A 25,220-nucleotide genomic window follows, 5' to 3' on the forward strand; every position below is an offset into this window, starting at 1 on the left:
ACAAAACAAAAACACCTGCTGTCGTCAGCTTGCGCTGCTGGGAGCTTGCCTTCCCTCCCCACCACCCTCCGCCCTGGCAGCTCCTCCCTCCTCTACTCCCGGGCAACAGCAGAATCTGGGGACGTAGTGGGTTCAAGTCCCAAGCTCGTGAGGACTTTCTGTCCTTGTGCTTGTCGCTTCATCCCCAGGAGTCGGAGGCTCCTCTTTTGTAAAATAGGGCCAATGGGGGGGGGGGGTGCTATTAAATTTTAAAACATGGAGGAAACTCCTAGTGAAATGTCTGTCCCAGAATAGATGCTTTGAAAAGGGGAGCTGCTGGAATTGGTCAAAACCGGCGGGCTGTGTTTGAGCCCAGTTTGGTTGCCTCCTGGTTCAAGCACTTGCCAGTCTTACGCACAGGCCTTGCTCAGATGTGTCGGAATGGGAGCACCAGGGCTGGTGGTGCCCTGGATGTTCCTTTCCTAGGGAATCTTTGCGAAGGTATGTTTTAGACTCCCCCAAGAACCGCCCAGTCCCTGTTCAGTTCAGGTGCCACACTGGGGCAGAGGTAGAGAAAAGAAAATTCTGGAAAGTGGCTTAATTGTGGAGGTTGGGAGTAGGTAGGACCTGTGCCCTAGGAAACGGCAGTGCCTGGCCTGCAGGGGCCTTCTGGCACGTTCTCACTCCTCGCCGTTGCTCTTCTTCTATCTTCAAAGCAGAAGAGATTTTGAAGTCCGAAAGACCTGGTTTGGCTCTGCTACTCTCTGTGCCACTTGGGCAAGTTGAGTCATCCCTGTGTTTCAGTCTCCTCATCTGTAGAATGGAGGAAATACTACCTGCCTCAAAAATGGTTTTGTGGGCCGGGCGTCGTGGCTCACACTTGTAATCCCAGCACTTTGGTAAGCTGAGGCCGGTGGATCACCTGAGGTTGGGAGTTCAAGACCACCCTGGCCAACATGGTGAAACCCTGTCTCTACTAAAAATACAAAAATTAGCTGGGCATGATGGTGCGTGCCTGTAATCCCAGCTACTCAGGAGGCTGAGGCAGGAGAATCGCTTGAACCTAGGAGGTGGAGGTTGCAGTGAGCCGAGATAGTGCCATTGCACTCCAGCCTGGGTGACAAGAGCAAAACTCCATCTCAAAAAGAAAAAAAAAGTGGTTTTGTGAGGATAGCGAAGGACCCAGGGCAGAAGCTTTGAGTCAAATCTAATCTGCAGAGATTCAAATCCTGGCTTTTGTAGCTCTTAACTGTATGGCAGTGGGCAAATCACTGCAATCTTCTGACCTTCAGTTTCATCTATGAATGGGGGTACCAATACTGAACTTGCAAGGTTGTTCTGAGAATTAAAATGAGATAATGCACTAAAAATGCTTACCACAACATCTGGCATATGGCAATGGCTCAATAAATGGTAGCTATTAGTATCCAAAAGGCCCACCCAGAAGACCCATAAGTGGAGTGTCCTAAGAAGCCACTTGGACACCTTCTCCAGGAGACCTCTTGTTCCTCCAAGTAACTTTTGTTCTGTCTTTGCTATCTCTCCATTTATGTCTCCTGCACTCCTCCACTAGCTACATCCACTGGACTTCAGCTCTTTTCCCCTCCAATATAGGCAGAGTTTTCAGTATCAGTTAAGCTGGGAGCATTGGTGTTTCAGGGAGAGAAAGTCATGTATGTGTTTAGATTATAAATGGGTTGCACAACACAGATTTTCTTTAATCCTAGAATCAAATTGGATGAGAAGACAGCTCTGATTAGTCAATTATCTACTGAACTTCCTCCTACTTAGGACTTTGCCTCTTGGTGATTTGATTTGAGTTCCATAAATAAAATAATGTCTGGTGCTGTTTTCCAGTCGTTAGGAGATATATTTTTATAAAGAACATAATCTGGTCGTACATTTCCTCTTCTCACCCCTGCAGAACTCCCTGGGATTTGGCTGATGCATTTCCAATAATGATTTCCAAAGGTTTAAAAAAGGCTAAAAATTGGAGGGAGGATGTCTATTCTGAGAATCACTGATAGTTTATCCTTCTTTCATTTAACAAGTCTAGTCTCCTGATGCCTACTTTGTGCCTTGAGGACTATAGGACACATATGGATTATAGCTCTGGAGGAGCCCTCACTTGAAAGAATGTGTTATTGGAGAACTGAGAGACAGACACATAAGTAAATAATTATCAAAGAGTATGGTCAACATAACAGAGGTTAACACTGGTGCTGAATGAATGACTAGTAAGAGATGAGAAGGAGTTCTCCCAGCATGAGAAGTGTAAGGAAAATTTTATCGTTAACATCACCTTCCACATTTATTTACTTGGATTTGAAAAATGCATTCAACCTCCCTGGACCATCCAATGACCCTGTGGGACAGACAAGTCTAGTGGTCATCTCTTATATGGCTTATTTAGCAATCATTCGGGTGGTCACAGCACCTCATCATTTGAATTTTGAGGGCCACTCTTCTATTTTCAGGCCATGTGGTTCAGGTGGAGGTAATCCTAACCCACCTACCTTCCAGGGGTGCCCATATGACTCACACCTGTTTGCCAGGGGGATGCATCTTCCTGGTCAAAGTGACTAGTTTAGTGATGGGGGTGTGATCCACATTAGACCAGTTAAAGAAACCCCAGACTTTAGCTGAAACTATCCTAAAGACCCACTCTCCTTTTTTTTTTTTTTCTAGAATTGCTAAAATGGAAGACTATGAAGCTACTGTTAGTGGTCATCTTTGCCATTACTGGTGGGGAGGCTTCCTAAGGTTGAAGCAAACACAGAGAAAATCAGAAGGGGGCACAGGATTCTGATGATATCTACACCCCAGAGCCCATTCTTCTCTTCTTCCCTATAGTAACAAAAGCCCCCAAGTTTTATTTGGGCACTGGGCCACCCAACCAGAAACCACATTTCCCAACCATCCTTGCAGCAAAGAACAACCATCTGCACTTCCATGTCACTTCCTTAAAAGAAGTTGCTTGTGTTCAACTTTGTCTTTCTCCCCATTGGGTAGGATGTGGACATGGTAGAGGTGAGTTATCATTTGGGTAGTTAAGACAGCTCTGAAGGTTTTGGTGTTGTGGTTAAGAACATTCTAGTGCCAAGATTCAACCTTGGGGAAGGAAGGGGAGAGGAACAACACAGCAGAAACCTGTCTTGGATGATCCCATGGAGCAGAGCAGCCTAGCAGCCTTGGGCTACCTGCTTACTGCTAGACTGCATGTGAGAAAGAAATATAGTTCCCTCTTGTTTGAACCACTGTTTGGAGTTCTCTTAGTATTTTAGTCATTTGAGCATGTGGATCTGGCCATGCCTGAACAAATTTGAGGTATATAAAAACAGTAGAGTACCAAAATACTGGGAAATACTATGATGTTAAGATATGAAGGAATAATCAGAGTTAAAATATTCTAAAGTCCCTATTTGTTTGTGAGGAGAGTAGAAATCTTAACTTATTGTATTAGTCTGTTCTTGGACTGCTATAAAGAACTACCTGAGACTGGGTAATTTATGAAAAAAAGAGGTTTAATTGACTCACAGTTATGCATAGCTGGGGAGGCCTCAGGAAACTTACAATCATGGCAGAAGGCAAAGGGGAAGCAAGGCACCTTCCTCACATGGCCAAAGTAGGAGGAAGAGAGAGAAGGGGTAAGTGCTACACACTTTTAAACAACCAGCTCTCATGAGAACTCACTCACTATCATAAGAACAGCAATGGGAAATCCACCCCCATGATCCAATCACCTTCCACCAGGTCCCTCCCCCAACACTGAGAATTACAATTCCACATGAGATTTGGGTGGGGACACAGAGCCAAGCCATATCACGTATTAACCTAAAAAGTTTATGAACCTAAAAATTCACATTTAAAGAAAGAAAGAAAAGGGACTATAGAAAACTTTATTAAGGCCAGAAATAAGTACAGAGAAAACATGGCAAATAGCAAATCCATAATAGGATGTTAGAAATATTTCCAAATATATGAGTGATGGGGTAAATGTAAATGATCAGAATTTTCCTGTTAAAAGACAGAGAATCTCAGATTAGAGAAGAACATAAAACAAAACAAAATATACCTATACATTATTTTCTTAAGAATTTTTAATGATGCTTTTTGAGACAGGGTCTCACTCTATTGCCCAGGCTAGAGTGCAGTGGTGCAATCATAGCTCATTGCAGCCTCAACCTCTGCAGACTCAGGTGATCCTCCCCCCTTAGCCTCCCAAGTGGCTGGGACTACAGGTGCACACCACCATGGCTGGCTAATTTTTGCTTTTTTTTTTGTGCAGAGATGGGGCTTTGCTCTTGTTGCTCAGGCTGGTCTCAAACTCATGGGCTCAAGTGATCTGCCCATCTTGGCCTCCCAAAATGTTGGGATTACAGGTGTGAGTCACCACACCTGGCCAGCTTATTTCTGAGTGTCATATTTAAAATGCAAAGATGGCCGGGCGCGGTGGCTCACGCCTGTAATCCCAGCATTTTGAGAGGCCGAGGTAGGCGGATCACGAGGTCAGGAGTTCAAGATCAGCCTGGGCAACATAGCAAAGCCATGTCTGTCTTTTAACAGGAAAGTTTTGATCATTTACATTTACCCCATCACTAATTTATTTGGAAATATTTCTACCATCCATGGTGAAATCCCGTATCTATTAAAAATACAAAAATTGGCTGGGCATGGTGGTGCACCTTTGTAATCCCAGTTACTCGGGAGGCTGAGGCAGGAGAATCACTTGAACCCGGGAGGCAGAGGTTGCAGTGAGCCGAGATTGCGCCACTGCGCTCCAGCCTGGGCAACAGAGCAAGACTCCGTCTCAAAAACAAAAATGCAATGACACATAAATATTGAAACAAATGATAGAAAAAGATGTAGTAGACAAGGCAGGAGAATACAGTCTGAAGGCAGGAAACCTAAGGCTGATTCATGCTGACTTCCTAGAACTGAAAGGGAAAACCCCACCTCTCCATGCCCAAGTAACAAAAGGACCAGAGGCTACTACTTATGCAACCTCCCGCCATCACCTCTTCTCTGCATTGCAGATGAAAAATGAAAGTACCTCTGATTGGTTCCCTCCTGTAGCCAATCAGACTGGCTGCAGGCCCAGTCTTCATGAGTAACTTTGTAACTTCACTTCAGCCTCTGATTGGTCACCGTCCACAACCAATCAAACTTGCTCTGGGCAACTACTTCATTTACATAGGGTGTGACCAATGGAAACCTTTAGAGGGTATTTAAACTCCAGAAAATTCTGTAACTGGCTCTCTTGAGCTGCTTTCTCTAGCCCACTCCCACTCCGTGGAGTGTACTTTTATTTCTTTTGTTGCTTTGTTCATGCATTTCTTCCAATTCCTTCTTCAAAATGCCAAGAACCTGGACACCCTCCACTGGTAACAGTAGATAAATACTAATGAAAATGAAAAGCTGATGCCGTTTTATTAATAACAGACAAATTTGGTTTTAAAACAAAAAGCACTATTATGGATAAAGGGGATCTTCATATAAAAATAGAAGAAACAATCCCCCAGAAGTATATAATGTGGTTTTCCTCTAACAATATAGCCTCAAAATATAGAAAGCAAAACTTGTAGAATTTTAAGAAGAAATGCAAAAATCCATAATCATCATCATCATAGAGCTTTTTAAAAATACATAAGAGTAACTTACAAATGCAATACATAAAATGTTGTTAGGGATGTAGAAGATTTAAGTAAGTAATAAGCTTGATCTAATGGGCCCCTCATTCAACAATTAGTGAATGTATTATTCTTAAATTTATATGGAATATGTAAAATTTGACCATGGACCTAGGCCACAAAACAAATATGAACAAGAAGCAAGGACACATACATACCACATTTATGATGCCAGTACAATGATGTTAGAAATCAATAACAAAAAATAATCACAAGCCTACACATATTTAGAAATTAAACTAAGAAAAACAAAAAACATATTTATAGATTAATTTATAGCTTAAAATAGATTATAATAGATATTAGAAAATATTTAGAACCAAAAGGAAATGAAAACATTGCATACCAAAGTTTGTAGGATGCAGCTAAATACAGTATTAGTAAGGAAACTTATAATCTAAATACATAAGTTAGAAACTAAGAAAGACTAAAAATACGCTCACGATTAGACTCAAGAAGTTAAAAATCAGTGGCATGCACCTGTAGTCCCAATAACTCAGGAAGTTGAGGCAGGAGGATCACTTGAGCCCAGGAGTTTGAGGCTGTAGCATGCTGTGATTGCACCTGTGAATAGCCACTGCACTGCAGCCTGGGCAACATAGCAAGGCTCCATCTCTAAAAAAGAAAAAAAGAAAAAAAAAACCATAGTACAGAGCAAACTCATAAGAAAATAAAAGGGGAAAAATAAAGAAAACAGCAAGGTGATTAAATATAAAATAACCATGCATTAGCTACTATTAAGAAATCTAAAAGTTGCTTCTTTGAAATAGACAAGTCTCTAACAAGTTCATCCAGAAACAGAGAGAGAGAGAGAGAGAGTATCACACATCAAAAATTTTAGGATTGTAAAGAGGGATAATTGTTGATATGGCAGATTGAAAGAATCATAGATAAATACTAAGAACTACTTTCTTCTGATAAATGTGAAAAACTTTGCATGATAGCCAGCCTCCAAGAAGGCCCACAGTGACCCTAACTTCCCAGTGTTCACAGCCTTGTGTAGTCCTCTGCCCTGAATCAAATCACTTAGAAATATGCATTTAAATTTCCTCCATGTCTTTTCATGGCTTGTTAACTCATTTCTTTTTAGAGCTGGATAATATTTCATTATCTGGATGTACCACAGTTTATTCATTCACCTACTGAAGGATATCTTCGTTGCTTCCAAGGGTTGGTAATTATGAATAAAGCCACTAGAAACATCCGTGTGCAGGTTTCTGTAGGGACATAAGCTTTCAACTCCTTTGGGTAAATACCAAAGAGTACAATTGCTAGATGACACAGTTAGAGCATGCTTAGTTTAGTAAGAAACTGCCCAAATGGCTTCCATAGTAGCTGTACAATTTTGTGCTCCTACCAGCAACAAACGAGAGTTCTCATTGTCCCATGTCCTCTCAGGTTATTTGGTTTTATCGGTGTTTTGGATTTTTCACATTCTAACAGGTGTATAGTAGTATCTCATTGTTTTAATTGGTAAATCTCTAATAGTGTACAATGTTAAACATCTTTTCATATGCTTACTTGCCGTCAGTACATCTTCTTTGGTGAGATGTATGTTCCAGTGTTTTGTCCATTACATTTATTTTTATTTATTTATTTTTTTAAGAGATGGGGTCTTGCTCTGTCACCCAGGCTGGAGTGCATGATCATAGCTCACTGTAGACTCAAGCTTCTGGGCTCAAGTGATTGTCCCACCTCAGCCGCCCAAGTAGCTGGGACTACAGGTGTGAACCACCGTGCCTGGCTTTTGTCCATTTTTTAATTGGGTTGTTCATTTTCTTACTGTTGAGTTTTACAAGTTGTTTGTATATTTTGGATGATAGCTTGCTTGATACCCTTCATCCTAAATCTTTTGCAAATATTTTCTCAGTCTGGTTTGTCTTTTCATTCTCTTCACAGTGTCTTTTGAAGAACAGAAGTATTTAGTTTTAACAAAGTCCCATTCATAAATTCTTTCATAAAAGGGTCATGGCTTTGGTGTTGGATCTAAAAAGTCATTACCATGGCTGTTTGTGGTAACTCATGCCTGTAATCCCATTGCTTTGGGAGGCTGAAGCAGGAGGATCTCTTGAGCGGAGGAGTTTGAGACTAGCCTGGGCAACATAGCAAGACCCCATCTCTCTAAAAAACACAATTTTTTAAACTTAAAATAAATAAATAGTTATCAGCAAACCCAAGACTATATGTTTTCTCCTATGTTATCTTCTGAGAGTTTTATACCTTTGTATTCTACATTTATGTCTATGAGCCATTTCAAGTTAATTTTTGTGAAGGGTGTAAGCTCTGGGTCAAGATTCATTTTTTGGCGTGTAGATTTCCAGTTATTCTAGTCCCATTTGTTGAAAAGACTACCTCTGCTCCATTGTATTGCCTTTGCTTCTTTCTCAAACATCAGTTGACTATACAGATGCTTCTTGACTCATGATGGAGTTAAACCCATTGTAAATTGAAAACATTGTATGTCAAAAATGCATTTATTACATCTAACCTACCAAACATCATAGCTTAGCCTAGCCTACCTTAAACATGCTCAGAACACTTTCATTAGCCTATGGTTGGGCAAAATCATTTTTTAAAAAAAGCCCATTTCATATAATGAAGTCTTGAGTATCTCTTTTAATTTATTGAATAGTGTATTGAAAGTGAAAAACTGAATGTTTGCACAGCAATCCCCCTTGATCTGTGCTTTCGCTTTCTGTGGTTTCAGTTACCAACAGTGTAGTACAATAAGATGTTTTGAGAGAGGGGGAAAAGAGAGAGAGAGAGACCATATTCATATAACTTTTATTATAGTATATTGTTATAATTGTTCTATTTTATTATTAGTTATTGTTGTTTATCTCTTACTGTGCCTAACTTATAAATTAAACTTTATTATAGACCTGTATGTATATGAAAAAACAGAGTATATATAGGGTTTTACTAGCCTTGGTTTCAGGTAACCACTGGAGGTCTTGGAATGTCTTCCCTGCAGATAAAGGGAGACTGCTGTATACTACTAATGCATGTCACTTCTGCATCATCGCAAAATTTAAAAATCATAGATTGAACCATCGTTAGTCAGGGACCCTCTGTATGTATGTGGGTCTATTTCTGGACTCTCTATTCTATTCAATTTATTTCTCTCTTTTTTCACTAATATCACACTCTGTTGATCATTAAGCTTTATAATATGCCTTGAAGTCAAATACCATCAGTCCTCTTGTCATGGGATCCTTTGGGAGTGCTTCGCCAGCTGGAAACCTCTGCGGCCGGAGGCGCCTTCTGCCTAAGTATTACTTGCGCCGCTGGACTCATTCCGCCCACTTGGCCGTCTCAGCTCGAGCTACCGCCTGGATCCCACACCTGCCAAGGGCGAGCCAGGCGTGGAACAGCAAGGGGAGTGTGGGCAAGTGAGTGTGGGGTCTGGTCACTGTGCACATCTGACTGTGGCTGGACCAGATGTATGGCATGCAGCTTCTACAGTGGGCAGCTGCATCTGGACAGGGGGAGCATGGTGGCACCTGGAAGCTTGGAACTGCAGAGCCCCAAAGAGGGTGTCACAGCCCTGGCTTGGGAAGCCCCTATGTCTGGGTTCCCTGAAGGCTGCAGCTCTTCTCTCCTTCTTGTCACCCGCAACGTGGTAAGCCTGGGGGGGGGGGCGGGAGGTTTTACAGCCCTGTTTGTGTTACAGCTCTTTCAGTCCCGCCATCTGGTGGGTCCCAAGTTCTTGTCCTGCGTCCGGAAGAATGAGGCATGTGGACAACTGGAGGGTGAGCAAGGCAGAGAGGGGCTTCATTGAGCAACACAACAGCTCTCAGGAGACCTGCAGTGGGTAGCTCCTCTCTGCAGGCAGATCTTCCCGACAAGTGTCCAGCTCTCAGCAGAGAAGAGACCAACAGTGGGTAGCTCGTTTCCACAGGCAGGTCATCCTGACGAATGGAGGAGACCTGAAGTGGGTAGCTTATTCCCATAGCTGGTAGTCCCGAGGTCTGTCACAGTCTGGCTAAGACTGGGGATTTTTATAGGCTCAGAAGGGAAGAAGTGCATACTGATTGGTCCATGGGTGGCCATGGGCGGCCCAGAAAAAGCACCACAAGTTCTCACTCTGGGAGGTGGACTCCTCCCGGAATTGGCAGCCCAGCTCCCACGCTTCAGGCGTCCATGGCTTGAAGGTGAGGTTTCACGAGGGACCCGCCACTTTCTGCCCAGAAGCCTGTCTGCCTCCTGCTGCCATCAACATGCCCTCCATGGTGCCCAGGCTGTTTGTGCGGAGGGGCACCCGCGGGCCCGCACTGAGCTGCCCTTAGCCCCCTGCCTCCCTCCCATGCTCATTGGCATCCGAAGTCTGGAGGGGGCCAAGGCAGCAGGGGGCTGGCATGTCAGCACTGTCCCAAGCATGCACACACCTAGTTGTTTTGCAATAGCACCTGAGCTCGGCCACAGCTTTGTTCCGCACTGAAGTGGGTGTGCTGGGAGATGGGAGGCCAGAAGGTGAGAGAAGGCACTTCCTTTTGTTTTGTTTGCTTTATTTTGTTTTGTTTTGTTTTGTTTTGTTTTGTTTTGAGACAGAGTCTCCCTCTGTCGCCCAGGCTGGAGTGCAGTGGCGCAATCTCGGCTCACTGCAACCTCCCCCTCCAGGGTTCAAGCGATTCTCCTGCCTCAGCCTCCAGAGTAGCTGGGATTACAGGCGTGCGTCACCACGCCTGGCTAATTTTTTATTTTTGGTAGAGACAGGGTTTCGCCATGTTAGCCAGGCTGATCTCGGACTTCTGACCTCAAGTGATCTGTCTGCCTCACCCTTCCAAAGTGCTGGGATTACAGGCATTACAGGCATGAGCCACCACCCCAGGCCTGGAGAAGGCACTTTCAAAGCCTGCGGGGGCAAGGGGCTTCCTGGGCCCCTGAGAGTGCGGGGATGCTGAGGTCTGGAGCTGTGGCTGGGCGGCTGTGGCTGCACTTGGGAGTGTGAGTTCCTGCCCCACCAACTTGCCAGCCCCGCGGAGTGGGCAACCCCAGCCGCGTCTCCCCCACTGCAGCTGGTGTCTTCACAGCGGTCGCTTCAGACCGGCCGCAGCTGCCATCATTCTGACTTTCTTCTCCTCCTTCAATAGTGTATTGGCTATCTGGTTCTTTTGCCTCTCCATATAAACTTGAGAATCAGTTTGTCAATATCCACAAAATAACCTCCTGGGATTTTTATAGGGATCGCATTGAAGCTTTCGGGCAACTTTTAATGAACCAATCGATGACTGATATACCTAGGGGAAATAGACTATTATTCTAGAAAATAATATATATCTTACTAAAACTGATTTAAGAAGGAGTGGAAAACCTCAATAGCTCAATAAATTGAATCAATAGCTAAAAATCTGCCCACAAAAGAAAACAAAATTAGATAAAATACCTGATCCACTTGACTTTACAGGTGAGTTCCACAAAACGTTCATGGTATGAAAAATCTCTATATTATATAAATTATTCCACCGAACAGAAAAACTTCCCATCTCAGTTTAGGAAGCTGATATAATAGTGGTACCAAAACTAGATAAAGATGATATAAGGAAGAAAATCTATAGGTTAATCATAGATATAAAAATCCTAAATGAAATCTCAGCAAACAGAATTCATAATTATACATAAAATAATAATTTATCAACATTCAGTAGTGTATATACAAAGAATAAGCACTGGTTTAATAACAGAAAATCTATAGGTGTAATTCCACAAACTAACAGATTAAAGAGAAACATCATACAATCATCTCAAATAGACATATTTTGAAAAACATGATAAAAGTTGACACTCATTAATTGATTTATAAAAATCTTCACAACCTAGAACTTCCCTAATATATCAAAGGGTATCTACCAAAAACCTATTGGAAATAGTACGTTTTATGGTGAAAAACTTGAGGCTTTCCCTCTGTTGTTAGGAATGCAACCAGGGGAGAATTTGATCCCAGTCACAAGACTGGGTCCAGGGGATTTGGATTTTTAGTTATGAAACTGTGAGAACTAGTGTCAAATACCTCAGTGCTTTTGCTATGGCTGGGATGACCACAGAAGTAGGCATTATAGCAAAATCGTGAAAAATCTTGGAATCAAAATAATAAATAGAATATAGAATCAGAAAATATTTATTTGGAGTCCTAGAATATCAGAATAATTGAATTATATAGCCCTAGAATCCTAAAATAAATGAATGTTAAAAATCCTAGAATCTGGGAATCAGAATATTTGTCTTAATTTGGGGGGAGTTGATTGTTTTTGCTGACTGTTCTGCACTGCATGTTTGTGTCCCCCTAAAACTCATATGTTGAAACTCTAAACCCCAGTGGGATGGTATTAGGAGGTGGGGCTTTTGGGCGGTAATTGGGTGTAGTGTACATGAGTTCACAAGGGTGGAGCGTCTGTGATGGGAATCGTTTCCTTATAAGAAGAGAAAGAGACCAGAGCTTGCTCTGTCCACCATGTGAGGGTATCATGAAAAGACAGCATACGCAGACCAGAAAATGGGTCCTCATCAGACATCAGATCTGCCAGCACCTTGATTTTGGACTTCCCAGGCTCCCGAAGTGTAATAAGTAAATGTTTGTTGTGTAAGCACTCTATCTATGGTATTCTGGGATAGCAGCCCAAGCTGACTAAGACACAGGCTAACAAATTCCTCCTCTTGAACCAAAATAATAATTATCATAATTTTCATCTTTCCTTGAGACCACCATATGGCAGCATTGTAAAGATACATTTGAAAACAACTATTACATCGCCCGATCTCTTCTCAAGCTAAATATTCCAAATTTTTTCATTTAGTGTAATATCCATATGTGATACTAAAGCAAAATACTTCGAGACTGTATATCTCCTGTTACTCATCAAACATTCACCTACTAGTTTTACTAATTATTGGTGGCTCTTGCCTGAAACAATTATTACTACAGTATTTGCCAAATAGGGATTTTTCTAACTCCATCATTCCTTCTACATTTACTACATGTCATCTTTCTTTGTTTATAGCAGTATGGATTCACAAATTCTTATTTATTTTGATGGGTTTAATCCATTACTCCCATTTTTATTTTTATTTATTTATTTATTTATTTATTTTGAGACGGAGTCTCACTCTGTCACCCAGGCTGGAGTGCACTGACACGATCTCGGCTCACTGCAAGCTCCGCCTCCCGGGTTCACGCCATTCTCCTGCCTCAGCCTTCCAAGTAGCTGGGACTACAGGCACCTGCCACTATGCCTGGCTAATTTTTTTGTATTTTTAGTAGAGATGGGGTTTCACCATGTTAGCCAGGATGGTCTCAATCTCCTGACCTCGTGATCTGCCCACTTCGGCCTCCCAAAGTGCCCATTTTTATTTTTTTATTTTTATTTTTTATTTTAAGATCTGGGGTACACGTGCAGGATGTGCAGGTTTATTACATAGGTAAACGTGTGCCATGGTGGTTTGCTGCACCTATTAACCCATCACCTAGGTATTAAGCCCAGCATGCATTAGCTTTTTTTCCTAATGCTCTCCCCCACCGCCCTCCCTTGACAGGCCCCAGTGTGTGTTGTTCCCTTCCCTGTTGTCCATGTGTTCTCATTGTTCAGCTCCCACTTATAAGTGAGGACATGTGGTGGTTGGTTTTCTGTAACTGTGTTAGTTTGCTGAGGATAATGGCTTTCAGCTTCATCCATGTCCCTGCAAAGGACATGACCTCTTTCCTTTTTATGGCTGCATAGTATTCCATGGTATATATGTACAACATTTTCTTTATCTGGTATTTGGGTTAATTCCATGTCTTTGCTATTGTGAATAGTGCTGCAATGAACATATGTGTGCATGTATCTTTATAATAGAATGATTTATATTCCTTTGGGTATATACCCAGTAATGGGATTGCTGGATCAAATGGTATTTCCAGTTCTAAACCTTTGAGGAATCCCCACACTTTCTTCCACAATAGTTGAACTAATTTATATTCCCACCAACAATGTAAAAGCATTCCTATTCCTCCGCAACTTCACCAGCATCTGTTGTTTCTTGACTTTTTAATAATCGCTATTCTGACTGGCATGAGATGGCATCTCATTGTGGTTTTGATTTGCATTTCTCTAATGATAGTGATGTTAAGCTTTTTTTCATATGTTTGTTGGCCACATGTATGCTTCCTTTGAAAATTGTCTGTTCATGTCCTTTGCTGACTTTTTAATGGGATTTTTTTTTCTTGTAAGTTTGCTTAAGTTCCTTGTAGATTCTGGGTATTAGATCTTTGTCAGATGGATAGATTGCAAAAATTTTCTCCCATTCTGTATGTTGTCCATTCACTCTGATGATAGTTTCTTTTGCTGTGCAAAAGCTCTTTAGTTGAATTAGATCCCATTTGTCAATTTTTGCTTTTGTTGCAATTGCTTTTGGCAATTTCATCATAAAATCTTTGCTCATGCCTATGTCCTGAATAGTCTTGCCTAGATTTTCATCTAGGGTGTTTATAATTTTGGGTTTTACATTTAAGCCTCAATCCATCTTGAGTTAATTTTTGTATAAGGTGTAATGAAGGGGTCCAGTTTCAATTTTCTGCATATGGTCATCCACTTGTTAGAGCACCATTTGTTAAGTAGGGAATCCTTTCCCGTTGCTTGCTTTGGTCAGGTTTGTCAAAGATCAGATGGTTGTAGATATGCAGTTTTATTTCTGAGTTATCTATTCTGTTCCATTGTTCTGTGTGCCTGTTTTTCTACAAGTACCATGCTTTTCTAGTTACTGTAACCTTGTGGTATAGTTTGAAGTCAGGTAGTGTGATGCCTCCAGCTTTGTTCTTTTTGCTTAGGATTGTCCTGGCTATGTGAGCTCTTTTTTGGTTCCTTATGATTTTTTAAATAGATTTTTCTAATTCTGTGAAGAATGTAAATGGTAGTTTAATGGGAATGACATTGAATCTATAAATTGCTCTGGGCAGTATGGTCATTTTTGCGACATTGATTCTTCCTATTCATGAGCATGGAATGATTTTCCATCTGCTTGTGTCCTCTCTGATGTCCTTGAGCAGTGGTTTGTAGTTCTTCTTGAAGAGGTTCTTCACCTCCCTTGTTAGCTGTATTCCTAGGTATTTTATTCTCTTTGTGACAATTGTGAAAGGGAGTTCATTTATGATTTGGCTCTCTGCTTGTCTGTTATTGGTGTATAGGAATGCTTGTGATTTCTGCACATTGATTTTGTATCTTGAGACTTTGTTGAAGTTGGTTATCAGCTTAAGAAGCTTTTGGGCTGAGTCCATGGGGTTTTTTAGATATCGGATCATGTCATCTGCAAACAAAGACAATTTGACTTCCTCTTTTCCTATTTGAATACACTTTATTTTTTTCTCTTGCCTGATTGCCCTGGCCAGAACTTCCAATATTATGTTGAATAAGAGTAGCAAGAGAGGACATCCTTGTCTTGTGCCAGTTTTCAAGGGGAATGCTTCCAGCTTTTGACCATTCAGTATGATATTGGCCGTGGGTTTGTTATAAATGGCTCTTATCATTTTGAGGTATGTTCCTTCAATATCTAGTTTATTGAGACTTTTTAACATGAAGCAGTGTTTAATTTTATCAAAGGCCTTTTCTGTGTTTATTGAGATAAGCATGTAGTTTTTGTCTTTAGTTCTGTTTATGTATTAATTACATTTATTGATTTGCTTATGTTGAAACTACCTTGCATCCAGGGACTTGATCATGATGGATAAGCTTTTCGATGTGCTGCTGGATTTGGTTTGCCAGTATTTTGTTGAGGATTTTTGATCAGTGTTCATCAGGAATATTGGCCTGAAGTTTTCTTCTTCTTCTTTTTTTTTTAATCTCTGCCAGGTTTTGGTATCAGGATGATACTGGCCTCATAAAATGAGTTAGGGAGGAGTCCCTCCATTTCAATTGTTTGAAATTGTTTCAGAGGAAATGGTACCAGCTCCTCTTTGTGCCTCTGGTAGAATTCAGCTGTAAATCCATCTGTTCCTGGTTTTTTTTGATTGATAGGCTATTTATTACTGCCTCAATTTCAGAGCTTGTTATTGATCTGTTCAGGGATTCAGCTTCTTGCTGGTTCAGTCTTGGGAGGGTGTATGTGCCCAGGAATTTATCCATTTTTTCTAGATTTTCCAGTTTATTTGCATAGAAGTGTTTATAGTATTCTCTGATGGTTGTTTTTATTTCTGTGGGGTCAGTGGTGTTATCCCCCTTATCATTTCTGATTGTGTTTATTTGAATCTTCTCTCTTTTCTTCTTTATTAGTCTAGCTAGCGGTCTATTTTATTAATTTTTTTCAAAAAACATCTCCTGGATTCATTGACTTTTTGAACTTTTCATGTCTCTATCTCCTTCAGTTCTGCTCTGAGCTTTGTTATTTCCTGTCTTCTGCTAGCTCTGGGGTTTATCTGCCATTGGTTTTCTAGTTATTTTAGTTATGATGTCAGGGTGTCAATTTGAGATCTTTCTGGTTTTTTGATGTGGGCATTTAGTGCTATAAATTTTCCTCTTAACACTGCTTTAGCTGCATCCCAGAGATTCTGGTATATTGTCTCTTTGTTCTCTTTAGTTTCAAAGAACTTCTTGATTTCTGCCTTAATTTCATTATTTGCCCAGAAGTCATCCAGGAGCAGGTTGTTCAATTTCCATGTAGTTGTGTGGTTTTGAGTGGGTTTCTTAATCTTGAGTTGTAATTTGATTGTGCTGTGATCTGAGAGACTGTTTGTTATGATTTCAGTTTTTTTGCATCTGTTGAGGAGTGTTTTAGTTCTCATTATGTGATCAATTTTAGAGTAAGTGCCATGTGGCACTGAGAAAAATGCATATTCTGTTGTTTTGCAGTGAAGAGTTGTGTAGATATCTATCAGGTCCACTTGGTCCAGAGCTGAGTTCAAGTCCCAAATATCTTTGTTAATTTTCTATCTCAATAATCTGTCTAATACTGACAGTGGAGTATTAATGTCTCCCACTATTATTGTGTCAGGGCCCAAGTCTCTTTGTAGGTCTTTAAGAATTTGTTTTATGAATCTGGGTGCTCCTGTATTGGGTGCATATACATTTAGGATAGTTAGCTCTTATTGAATTGAACCCTTTACCATTATATAATGTCCTTGTTTATCTTTTTTTACCTTTGTTGGCTTAAAGTCTATTTTGTCAGAAACTAGGATTGCAACCCCTGCTTTTTTCTGCTTTCCATTTGCTTGGTAAATTTGTCTCCATCCCTTTATTTTGAGCTTATGTGTGTGTTTGTACTTGAGATGTGTCTCTTGAATACAGCACACTAATGGGTCTTGTCTTTTTATCCAGCTTGCCATTCTGTGTCTTTTAATTGGGGTATTTAGCCCATTTACATTTAAGGTTAATATGGTTATGTGTGAATTTGATCCTGTCATCAAGATGCTGCTTTGTTTATTTTGCAAACTTGTTAATGTAGTTGTTTCATAGTGTCGTTGGTCTGTGTACTTCAGTTTTTGTAGTGGCTGGTAATGATTTTTCCTTTCTATGTTTAGTGGTTAGTGCTTCCTTCAGGAGCTCTTGCAAGGCAGGCCTGGTGACGAAATCTCTCAGCATTTGCTTGTCTGAAAAGGATTTTATTTCTCCTCTGCTTATAAAGCTTAGTTTGGCTGGATATGAAATTCTAGGTTGGAAATTCTTTTCTTTAAGAATGTTGAATACTGGCCCCCAATCTCTTCTGGCTTATAGGGTTTCCGCTGAGAGGTCCTCTGTTAGTCTGATGGGCTTCCCTTGGTAGGTGACCTGGCCTTTCTCTTTGGCTGCCCTTAACATTTTTCCTCATTTTGACCTTGGAGAATCTAATGATTATGTCTTGGGGTTGATCTTCTCATGGAGTATCTAACTGGGGCTCTCTGGATTTCCTAAATTTGAATGTTGGCCTGTCTTGCTAGGTTGGGGAAGTTCTTCTGGATGATTTCCTGAAGTGTGTTTTCCAACTTGATTCCATTCTCCCCATCTCTTTCAGGTACTCCAATCAGTTGTAGGTTTGGTCTTTATACATAGTCTCATAGTTCTTGGAGGTTTTGTTCATTCCTTCTCATTCTTGTTTCTCTAATCTTGTCAACCTGCCTCATTTCAGCATGATAGTCTTCAAGCTCTGATATTCTTTCTTCCACTTGATTGATTTGGTTATTGACACTTGTGTTTGCATCATGAAGTTCTTGTGCTGTATTTTTAAGCTCCATCAGGTCATTTGTGTTCCTTTCTAAACTGGTTATTCTAGTTAACAGCTCCTGTACACTTTTGTCATGGTTCTTAGCTTCTTTGCATTGGGTTAGAACATAATCCTTTACCTCAGTGAAGTTCATTATTACCCACTTTCTGAAGCCTACTTCTGTCAGTTAATCCATCTCAGCTTCAGCCCAGTTCTGTGCCCTTGATGGAGAGGTTTTGCAATCATTTGGAGGAAAAGAGGCATTCTGGCTTTTGAAATTTTCAGCGTTTTTGCATTGGTTTTTCCTCATCTGTGTGAATTTACCTACCTTTTCTCTTTGAGGCTGTTTACCTTTGGATGGGTTTTTTGTAGGGCCTTTTTTGTTGATGTTGGTGTTGTTGCTTTCTATTTGTTTTTCTTCTAACAGTCAGGCCCCTCTTCTGCAGGTCTGCAGCAGTTTGCTGGGGGTCCACTCCGGACCCTGTTTGCATTGGTATCCCCAGTGGAGGCTGCAGAACAGCAAAGATTGCTGCCTGCTCCCTCCTCCAGAAGCTTCATGCAAGAGAGGTACTGATCTGATGCCAGTCAGAACTCTCCTGTATGAGGTGTCTGGCCACCCCTGTTGGGAGGTCTCACCCAGTCAGGAGGCATGGGATCAGGGTCCCGCTTAAGGAAGCAGTCTGGCTGCCCCTTAGCAGAGCTGGTGCACTGTGCTGGGGGAATCCCCCTCATCTGGATTGCCTGGACTCTTCAGAGCCAGCAGGCAAGAAAGATTAAGTCCACTGAACCTGAGACCATGGCCACCTGTCCTCCCAGATGCTCTGTTCCAAGGAGATGAGAGTTCTGTCTGTACACCCCTGGCTAGAGTTGCTGGAATCCTGCAGGGAGGCCCTGGCTAGTTAGGAGGATAGGTCCAGGTCCTACCTAAAGAAGCAGTCTGGCCACGATCTGCCACAGCTGCTGTGCTGCACTGTGGAGAATACTGCTCAGTCCAAACTGCCCAGCCTCCCTAACACTGGCCGGGGAAAACCACTGACTAGAGCTGCAGTAATGGTGATCGCCCCTACCCCTGGGAACTGGTCGTCTTAGGCAGACTCCAGGCTGTTGTGGTGGCCTGAGAGGATTCCAAGTCAGTGGGTCTTAGCTTGTGAGGTTCCATGGGAGTGGGACCCACTGAGGGAGGCTGCTTGCCTCCCTGGCTTCAGTACCCTTTCCATGAGAGTGGATAGTTCTCCTGCCACCCTGGAGTTCCGGGAGCCACCAGAGTATGTAAAGATCCTGCAGCTCAGTGCCTGCCCCATTGGTTGCTGACCGGTGCCCCTGTCGTGGGTATGCCCAGTTTTGTGCTTGGGACCCAAGGTCCTGGTAGTGTTGGCACACGAAGGAATCTTCTGATCCACAGATTGCAAAAATCCGTGGGAAAAGTGTAGAATCCCAGGCAGGTAGCATAGTCCCTCACCACCTCCCTTGGCTGGGGGAGGGAGGTCCCTTTGCTCTGTGCAGCTCCTGGGTGAATCGTCACCCCACCCTGCTTTTCGTTCCTCTCCATGGGTCGTGCCAACCTTCTATCCAGTCCCACTGAGAACATCCGTGTCCCTCAGTTGACAGAAATCACTCGCCTTTTGCGTTTGTCTTGGTGGGAGAAACAGACCAGAGCTGTTTCTACTTGACCATCTTGGCCCCTCCCCCCCATTTTAAATTTTGATGCCCAAATTGTTCCAGATTTTCCAGTGAGAGACCCTTGGTGACAGCTCCGTAGCTCACTTAAATAAAATGACACAGATACATTTTAGGTTCCATACTGAGCATACTCCGTCTTCCTTCCTTCCTTACCACCATATGGAAGATGACATGGATGCATGTTTTTGTTTTTGTTTTTTTACACATATGTGTACCTATAATAAATCTGTATTCTTTGTGTATTTAACATTATTTTTTTCCCGAATGGTTATCATGCTTTGTGAAACTCTTACAATGTGCCTCTTTCACTTATCAATAGGAATGTGAGATTTATCCATGCTGATACATCTAAATCTGGTTAGGCCATTTTAACTGCTCTCCAGTAGTCTGTTGTATGATAAACCACTTAAATACACCCCCCCAACACACACACACCCACATACACACATATACATCTGCTGAGGAACAGTTAGGTTGTTCCTACTTTTTAGCTATTACAAATAATGCAGCGCGTTTTTCCTTATATATGTCTCCATTGCCTATGTGAAAACAATTCTCTAGGGTTGATAATCCAGAAGTAGAGTTTCTGAGTCATAGGGTATATGCTGCTTTGAATATACGAGGAACAAATTCTCTCCAAAATGGTTGTACCAGTTTATACTCCCACCTGCAGTATGTGGGAGTTTCTGTTTCTCAATCTCCTCACCAATATCTGTTATAACCAGACTTTAAAACTTTTGCCGTTCGGAAGGGTGTGAAATGTTGTATCATGGTGTTTAAATTTGAATACTAGTAAGGCTGAACATCTTTTTATGTGCTTATTGCCTATTGGAGTTTCTGTTTTGCTGCTCATGTTTTGTTCTGTTTTGCCTTGACCCACTTTTCTATCAGGTTGTTTGACTTTGAAAAATTATTTTATAAAAGTTTCTAATACAGCCTGCATATTAATCACCCATGGTTTATGTGCATTGCAAATATCATCTCCCAGGCTGTGGCTTATCTTTCAATCATGTTTATAGTATCTTTTGACATACAGAGCCTTCAAATTTTAATGTAGTCAAACTTATCAATCTATTGCTTTGTGAGCTGCACTTTCTGCATGTTTAAGAAAACTTCCCTGCTCTGATGTCATGAAGATATTACCTTACATTATATTTTTTAAGTTTTTTGTCTTTATATTTTTAGTCTATCTTTTGTGTGTAATGTGAAGTAGTATAGCAGACTATCCTTCTTCCTTACTTAGAGCACCCCAGGTTATTCCTGTTCAGGTCAGCAGTGTACTTCTCTTTCTGGACTTCCTTGTAGCCAGAAAAGGTCATGTGACATGGTTCTGCCCATTGAGGCATGAGAGAAGGGGATTTCTGTGAAATGTTATGATTTCTTTCTTTCTTGATATGAGTGTATTTCCATCTACCTTCCTTCTTCCTTCTTCCTTCTACTTCTTCTTTTCTGAAAAAATGGACATAGGCTAGAGATGAATCACCCTTTTGTCACCATGAGGTCACAAGCTTTGACACAGGAATAATACAGGGTGGTCACAGGAGAATAGAAAATTCCAGGCAGCAGTTTTACATGACTAGCAAAAGAAAACTTGAAATAGCTACAGAAGCTAGGGATTGACAAGACTCTGAAAACCAAAGTTTTGGACCAAGCTGGCTAAGACCAACCGGACACAACATGGTGCTGGATTTGACCTAGGTTTCACTTAGGACCTCATTATGCATTCATTAACATACACATCACACTCGCACCAGCCCCATGACAGTTTCAGGAACACCCATATTTGGTGTAAAAATGGGTGGCACTACAATTCTGAGAAATCTTCACCTTTTTCCAGGAATTTTCATGAATATTCCACCCCCTGGTTAAAGAAACCCATAAAGGTGGAAACCCCAAACTCCACTGTGTGACTCGCTTGAGTACACCCACACTCCCCTTTCTTGAGTATGTACTATTTGCTTTGCAATAAATCTCTGTACTTTCACTATTTTCTTGCTTGTCCTTGAATTCATTCTCTCGACGGTGTCAAGAACGTGGACACTGGCTGGGGCCGCAGTCCCACAGGTGTTTGGGGACCTCTCCCCACCCACTGGGATGAACTTGAAGACAGAAACTGCACACTAAAGATTGTAAATGGACAGGCAGAGAGAATATGAAACATTAATGGCATTGTGGAGATGCTACACCACTCTGCCTCTAGGTTCTTTTTAATCTTCATAGTTTTCTTCTTTTGTTCATTTTTGGGTTTCTTTTTATGAGAGAAAATTAATCCATTTTTCATTAGGCTGCTTTCATGTGGCTTGTAGCTGAACGTAAATCCTAGCGATAAAGATAAGAATCTATTTTTTTCATGTTCTTTAAGCATGGTTATTTGAATAGTTTACCCTTTCCTCACTGATTAATAATGCTTCCTCTAGTATATAACAAGTTTTTGTATGTAGGTGGATCTGTTTCTAAACTCTATATCCTGTTTTATTGGTCTATTTATTTACCCTGTGCTTAAATTATACTCAAGAGTTATTCTAGTTCTTAATACTTGGTAGGGCAAATCTCTCCTCCTTCTTCTCCTCTTCTTCTCCCTTTTCTTTCTTCCTTTTTTTTTTTTTTCCTGACACAGAGTCTTGCTCTGTTACCCAGGCTGGAGTGCAGTGGCCTGATCTCGGCTCACTGCAACCTCCCCCTCCCACGTTCAAGCAATTCTCCTGTCTCAGCCTCCCTAGTAGCTGTGATTACAGGTGTGCACCACCATGCCTGGTTAATTTTTGTATTTTTGTAGAGGTGGGGTTTCCCCATGTTGGCCAGGCTAGTCTCGAACTCCTGACCTCAGGTGATCTGCCCCCGCTCTGCCTCCCAAAGTTCTGGGATTACAGGTATGAGCCACCACGCCTGGCCTCCTTTTTCTTTTAAGTTGTCATTCATTTTTTCACAATTTTTTTTGAGCACCTACTGTGTACCAGGCACTGTTCTATACTCTGGGATGTAAAATTTATGCCCTGTTCCATACTCTGGGATGTAAAATATTTCTCTCATAGTGCTTACATTGGATTGGAAGCCTTGTCCTTAAGACTTCCCTGTTAATTTTAGAATCAGCTTGAAAAACTCTGAAAACTTTAATGAAAAATGTTTTATGGAATTGCATTGAACTTATTGAATATTTAAGAAGAATTTTCATTTTATGACTTTTGAGACATTCCACTCATAAAGATGGAAAATTTCTCTATTCACTTCAAGAGTGATTTTTGTTGTAATTGGAAATGGCATATCTTTTTAACATTTTATTTTTAAATAATTTTAGACTTGCAGGTTGCAAAAATAGCTCAGAGAAGTCCTGGTACCCATCATCCAGGCTTTCCCAATGGTGACATCTTAATTGCAGCACTTTATCAAGACAAGGAAAGGACCACACAATTAACTAGACTACAGACCTTAATTGGAGTTTACCAGTTTTTGCATGACTCATGTTTTGGGTACATTTTCGCATGTGGTTCTGTGACTTTTTTTTTTTTTCTTTTTGAGATGGAGTCTCGCTCTGTCGTCCAGGCTAGAGAACAGTGGTGTGATCTCGGCTCACTGCAACCTCTGCCTCCCGGGTTCAAGTGATTCTCCTGCCTCAGCCTCCTGAGTAGCTGGGATTACAGGCACGCCCGGCTAATTTTTGTATTTTTAGTAGAGACAGGGTTTCACCATGTTGGTCAGGCTCATCTCGAACTCCTGACCTCATGATCTGCCTTCCTCGGCCTCCCAAAGTGCTGGGATTACAGGCGTGAGCCACCGCTCCCAGCCAGTTCTATGACATTTTATTCCACCTATAGATTTATATCACTACCACCACAATCAAGATACACAACTGTTCATCACTACAAAGGAATTCCTTCCTGCTACCACTTCGTAATCACACCCTCTGCTGATTACCCCGATTTCCTCTGGCAACAACTGATCTATTCTCTACCTCTAAAATTTTACGTTTGAGAATGTTACATAGGTGGAATTATATAGCATGCAACCTTTTGAGGTTGGATTTTTCATTCAGTATAATGTCTTAAGATCCATCCAAGTTTTCGCGTGTATCCACAGTTTGTTCCTTTTTGTTGTATGTAGTATTCCGTTGTCTGTATAGACCATGTTTTGTTTAAATATTTACCCATGGAAGGACATTTGGGTTGTTTCCATTTAGGGATATTAAGGTATTATACATCTACAAACATTTATGTACAAGCTTTTTCTTGTGAACGCATTTTCAATTCTCTAGGATAAATACCTGGGAGTATGATTTCCAGATTATAAGGTAAGTGTCTGTTTAACTTTTTAAGAAACTGCCAAACTGATTTCCAGACTGGCTGTAGTATTTCACATTCCCACTAGCAATGGATGAGATATCCAGTTTATCTACATTCTTATCAGCATTTGACACTGCCAGTACTTTTTATTTTAGCCCTTGTAACAGGGGTGCAGTGGTGTTATATCATGGTTTATTTTATTTTTATAATTTCAACTTCTATTTCGGATTCAGAGGATACACGTGCAGGTTTGTTACATGGGTATATTGTGTTATGCTGAGGTGTGGGGTATGCCTGATCCCGTCATCCAGGTAGTGAGCATAGTACCAACAGGTAGTATTTTAGGCCTTGTTTCCCTCTCTCCCCACTCTAGTAGTCCCCAGTGCCTATTGTTCCTATCTTTATGTCCATGTGTACCCAATGTTTAGCTCCCACTAATAAGTGAGAACATCTGGTATTTGGTTTTCTGTTCCTGTGTTAATTTGCTTAGGATAATAGTTTATAGTTTGAGGTCTTAGATTTACATCTTTAATCCATCTTGAGTTAATTTTTGTATATGGTGAATGGTAGGGGTCTAGTTTCATTCTTCTGCGTATGGCTAGCCAGCTATCTATCCCTCCAGTTGAGTTAAGTGTTTAAGTTCCTTATAGAACATACATCTTGCTGCTGCAAAATACATGATTTCATTTTTTTTTTTTTTTTTGAGATGGAGCTTGCTCTGTTGCCCAAGCTGGAGTGCAGTGGCGCAATCTCGGCTCACTGCAGCCTTGACCTCCCAGGCTCAAGTGATCCTCCTACCTCAGCCTCCCAACTAGCTGGGAACACAGGCATGCACCACCATGCCTGGCTAATTTTTGTGTTTTTTGTAGAGACAGCAGTCTCACTATGTTGCCTAGGCTGGTCTGGAACTCCTGGGCTCAAGCAATCCTCCTGCCTCAGCCTCCCAAAGTGCATGAACCACCACGCCTAGCTTGATTTCATTCTCTTTTATGGCTACATAGTATTCCATGATGTATACGTACCACATTTTCTCTGTCCAGTCCACCATTGATGGACACTTAGTTTGATTCCATGTCTTTGCTGTTGTGAATAGTGCTGCAATGAACATGTACATGCATGTTTCTTTTTTGTAGAATGATTTCGTTTCATTTAGAGATATACACAGTAGTGGGATTACCGGGTCAAATGGTAGTTCCATTTTTAGTTCTTTGAGAAATCTCCAAACTACTTTCCACAGTGGCTGAACTAATTTACATTCCCACCAGCAGTGTATAAGCATTCTTTTTTCTCCACAGCCCAGCCAGCGTCTGTTATTTTTTGTCTTTTTAATAGTAGCCATTCTGACTGGTCTGAGATGGTATCTCATCGTGGTTTTGATTTGTGCTTCTCTGATGATTAGTGATGTTGAGAATTTTTTCATATGTTTGTTGTATATCTCCTTTTGAGACTT

The 25,220-nt window shown here is 41.3% G+C and overlaps 1 annotated feature.

Moving 5' to 3' along the window:
• Positions 21,191-21,250: an enhancer, noted in NCBI's record as "active region_5274". NCBI's record gives its function as "activates an Ori minimal core promoter by ATAC-STARR-seq in GM12878 lymphoblastoid cells {active_cell/tissue: GM12878}" and the evidence as "EXISTENCE:reporter gene assay evidence [ECO:0000049][PMID:35858748]".

This window comes from Homo sapiens, chromosome 11, assembly GCF_000001405.40.
Source record: "Homo sapiens chromosome 11, GRCh38.p14 Primary Assembly".
In the NCBI taxonomy this organism is placed as follows: domain Eukaryota; kingdom Metazoa; phylum Chordata; class Mammalia; order Primates; family Hominidae; genus Homo; species Homo sapiens.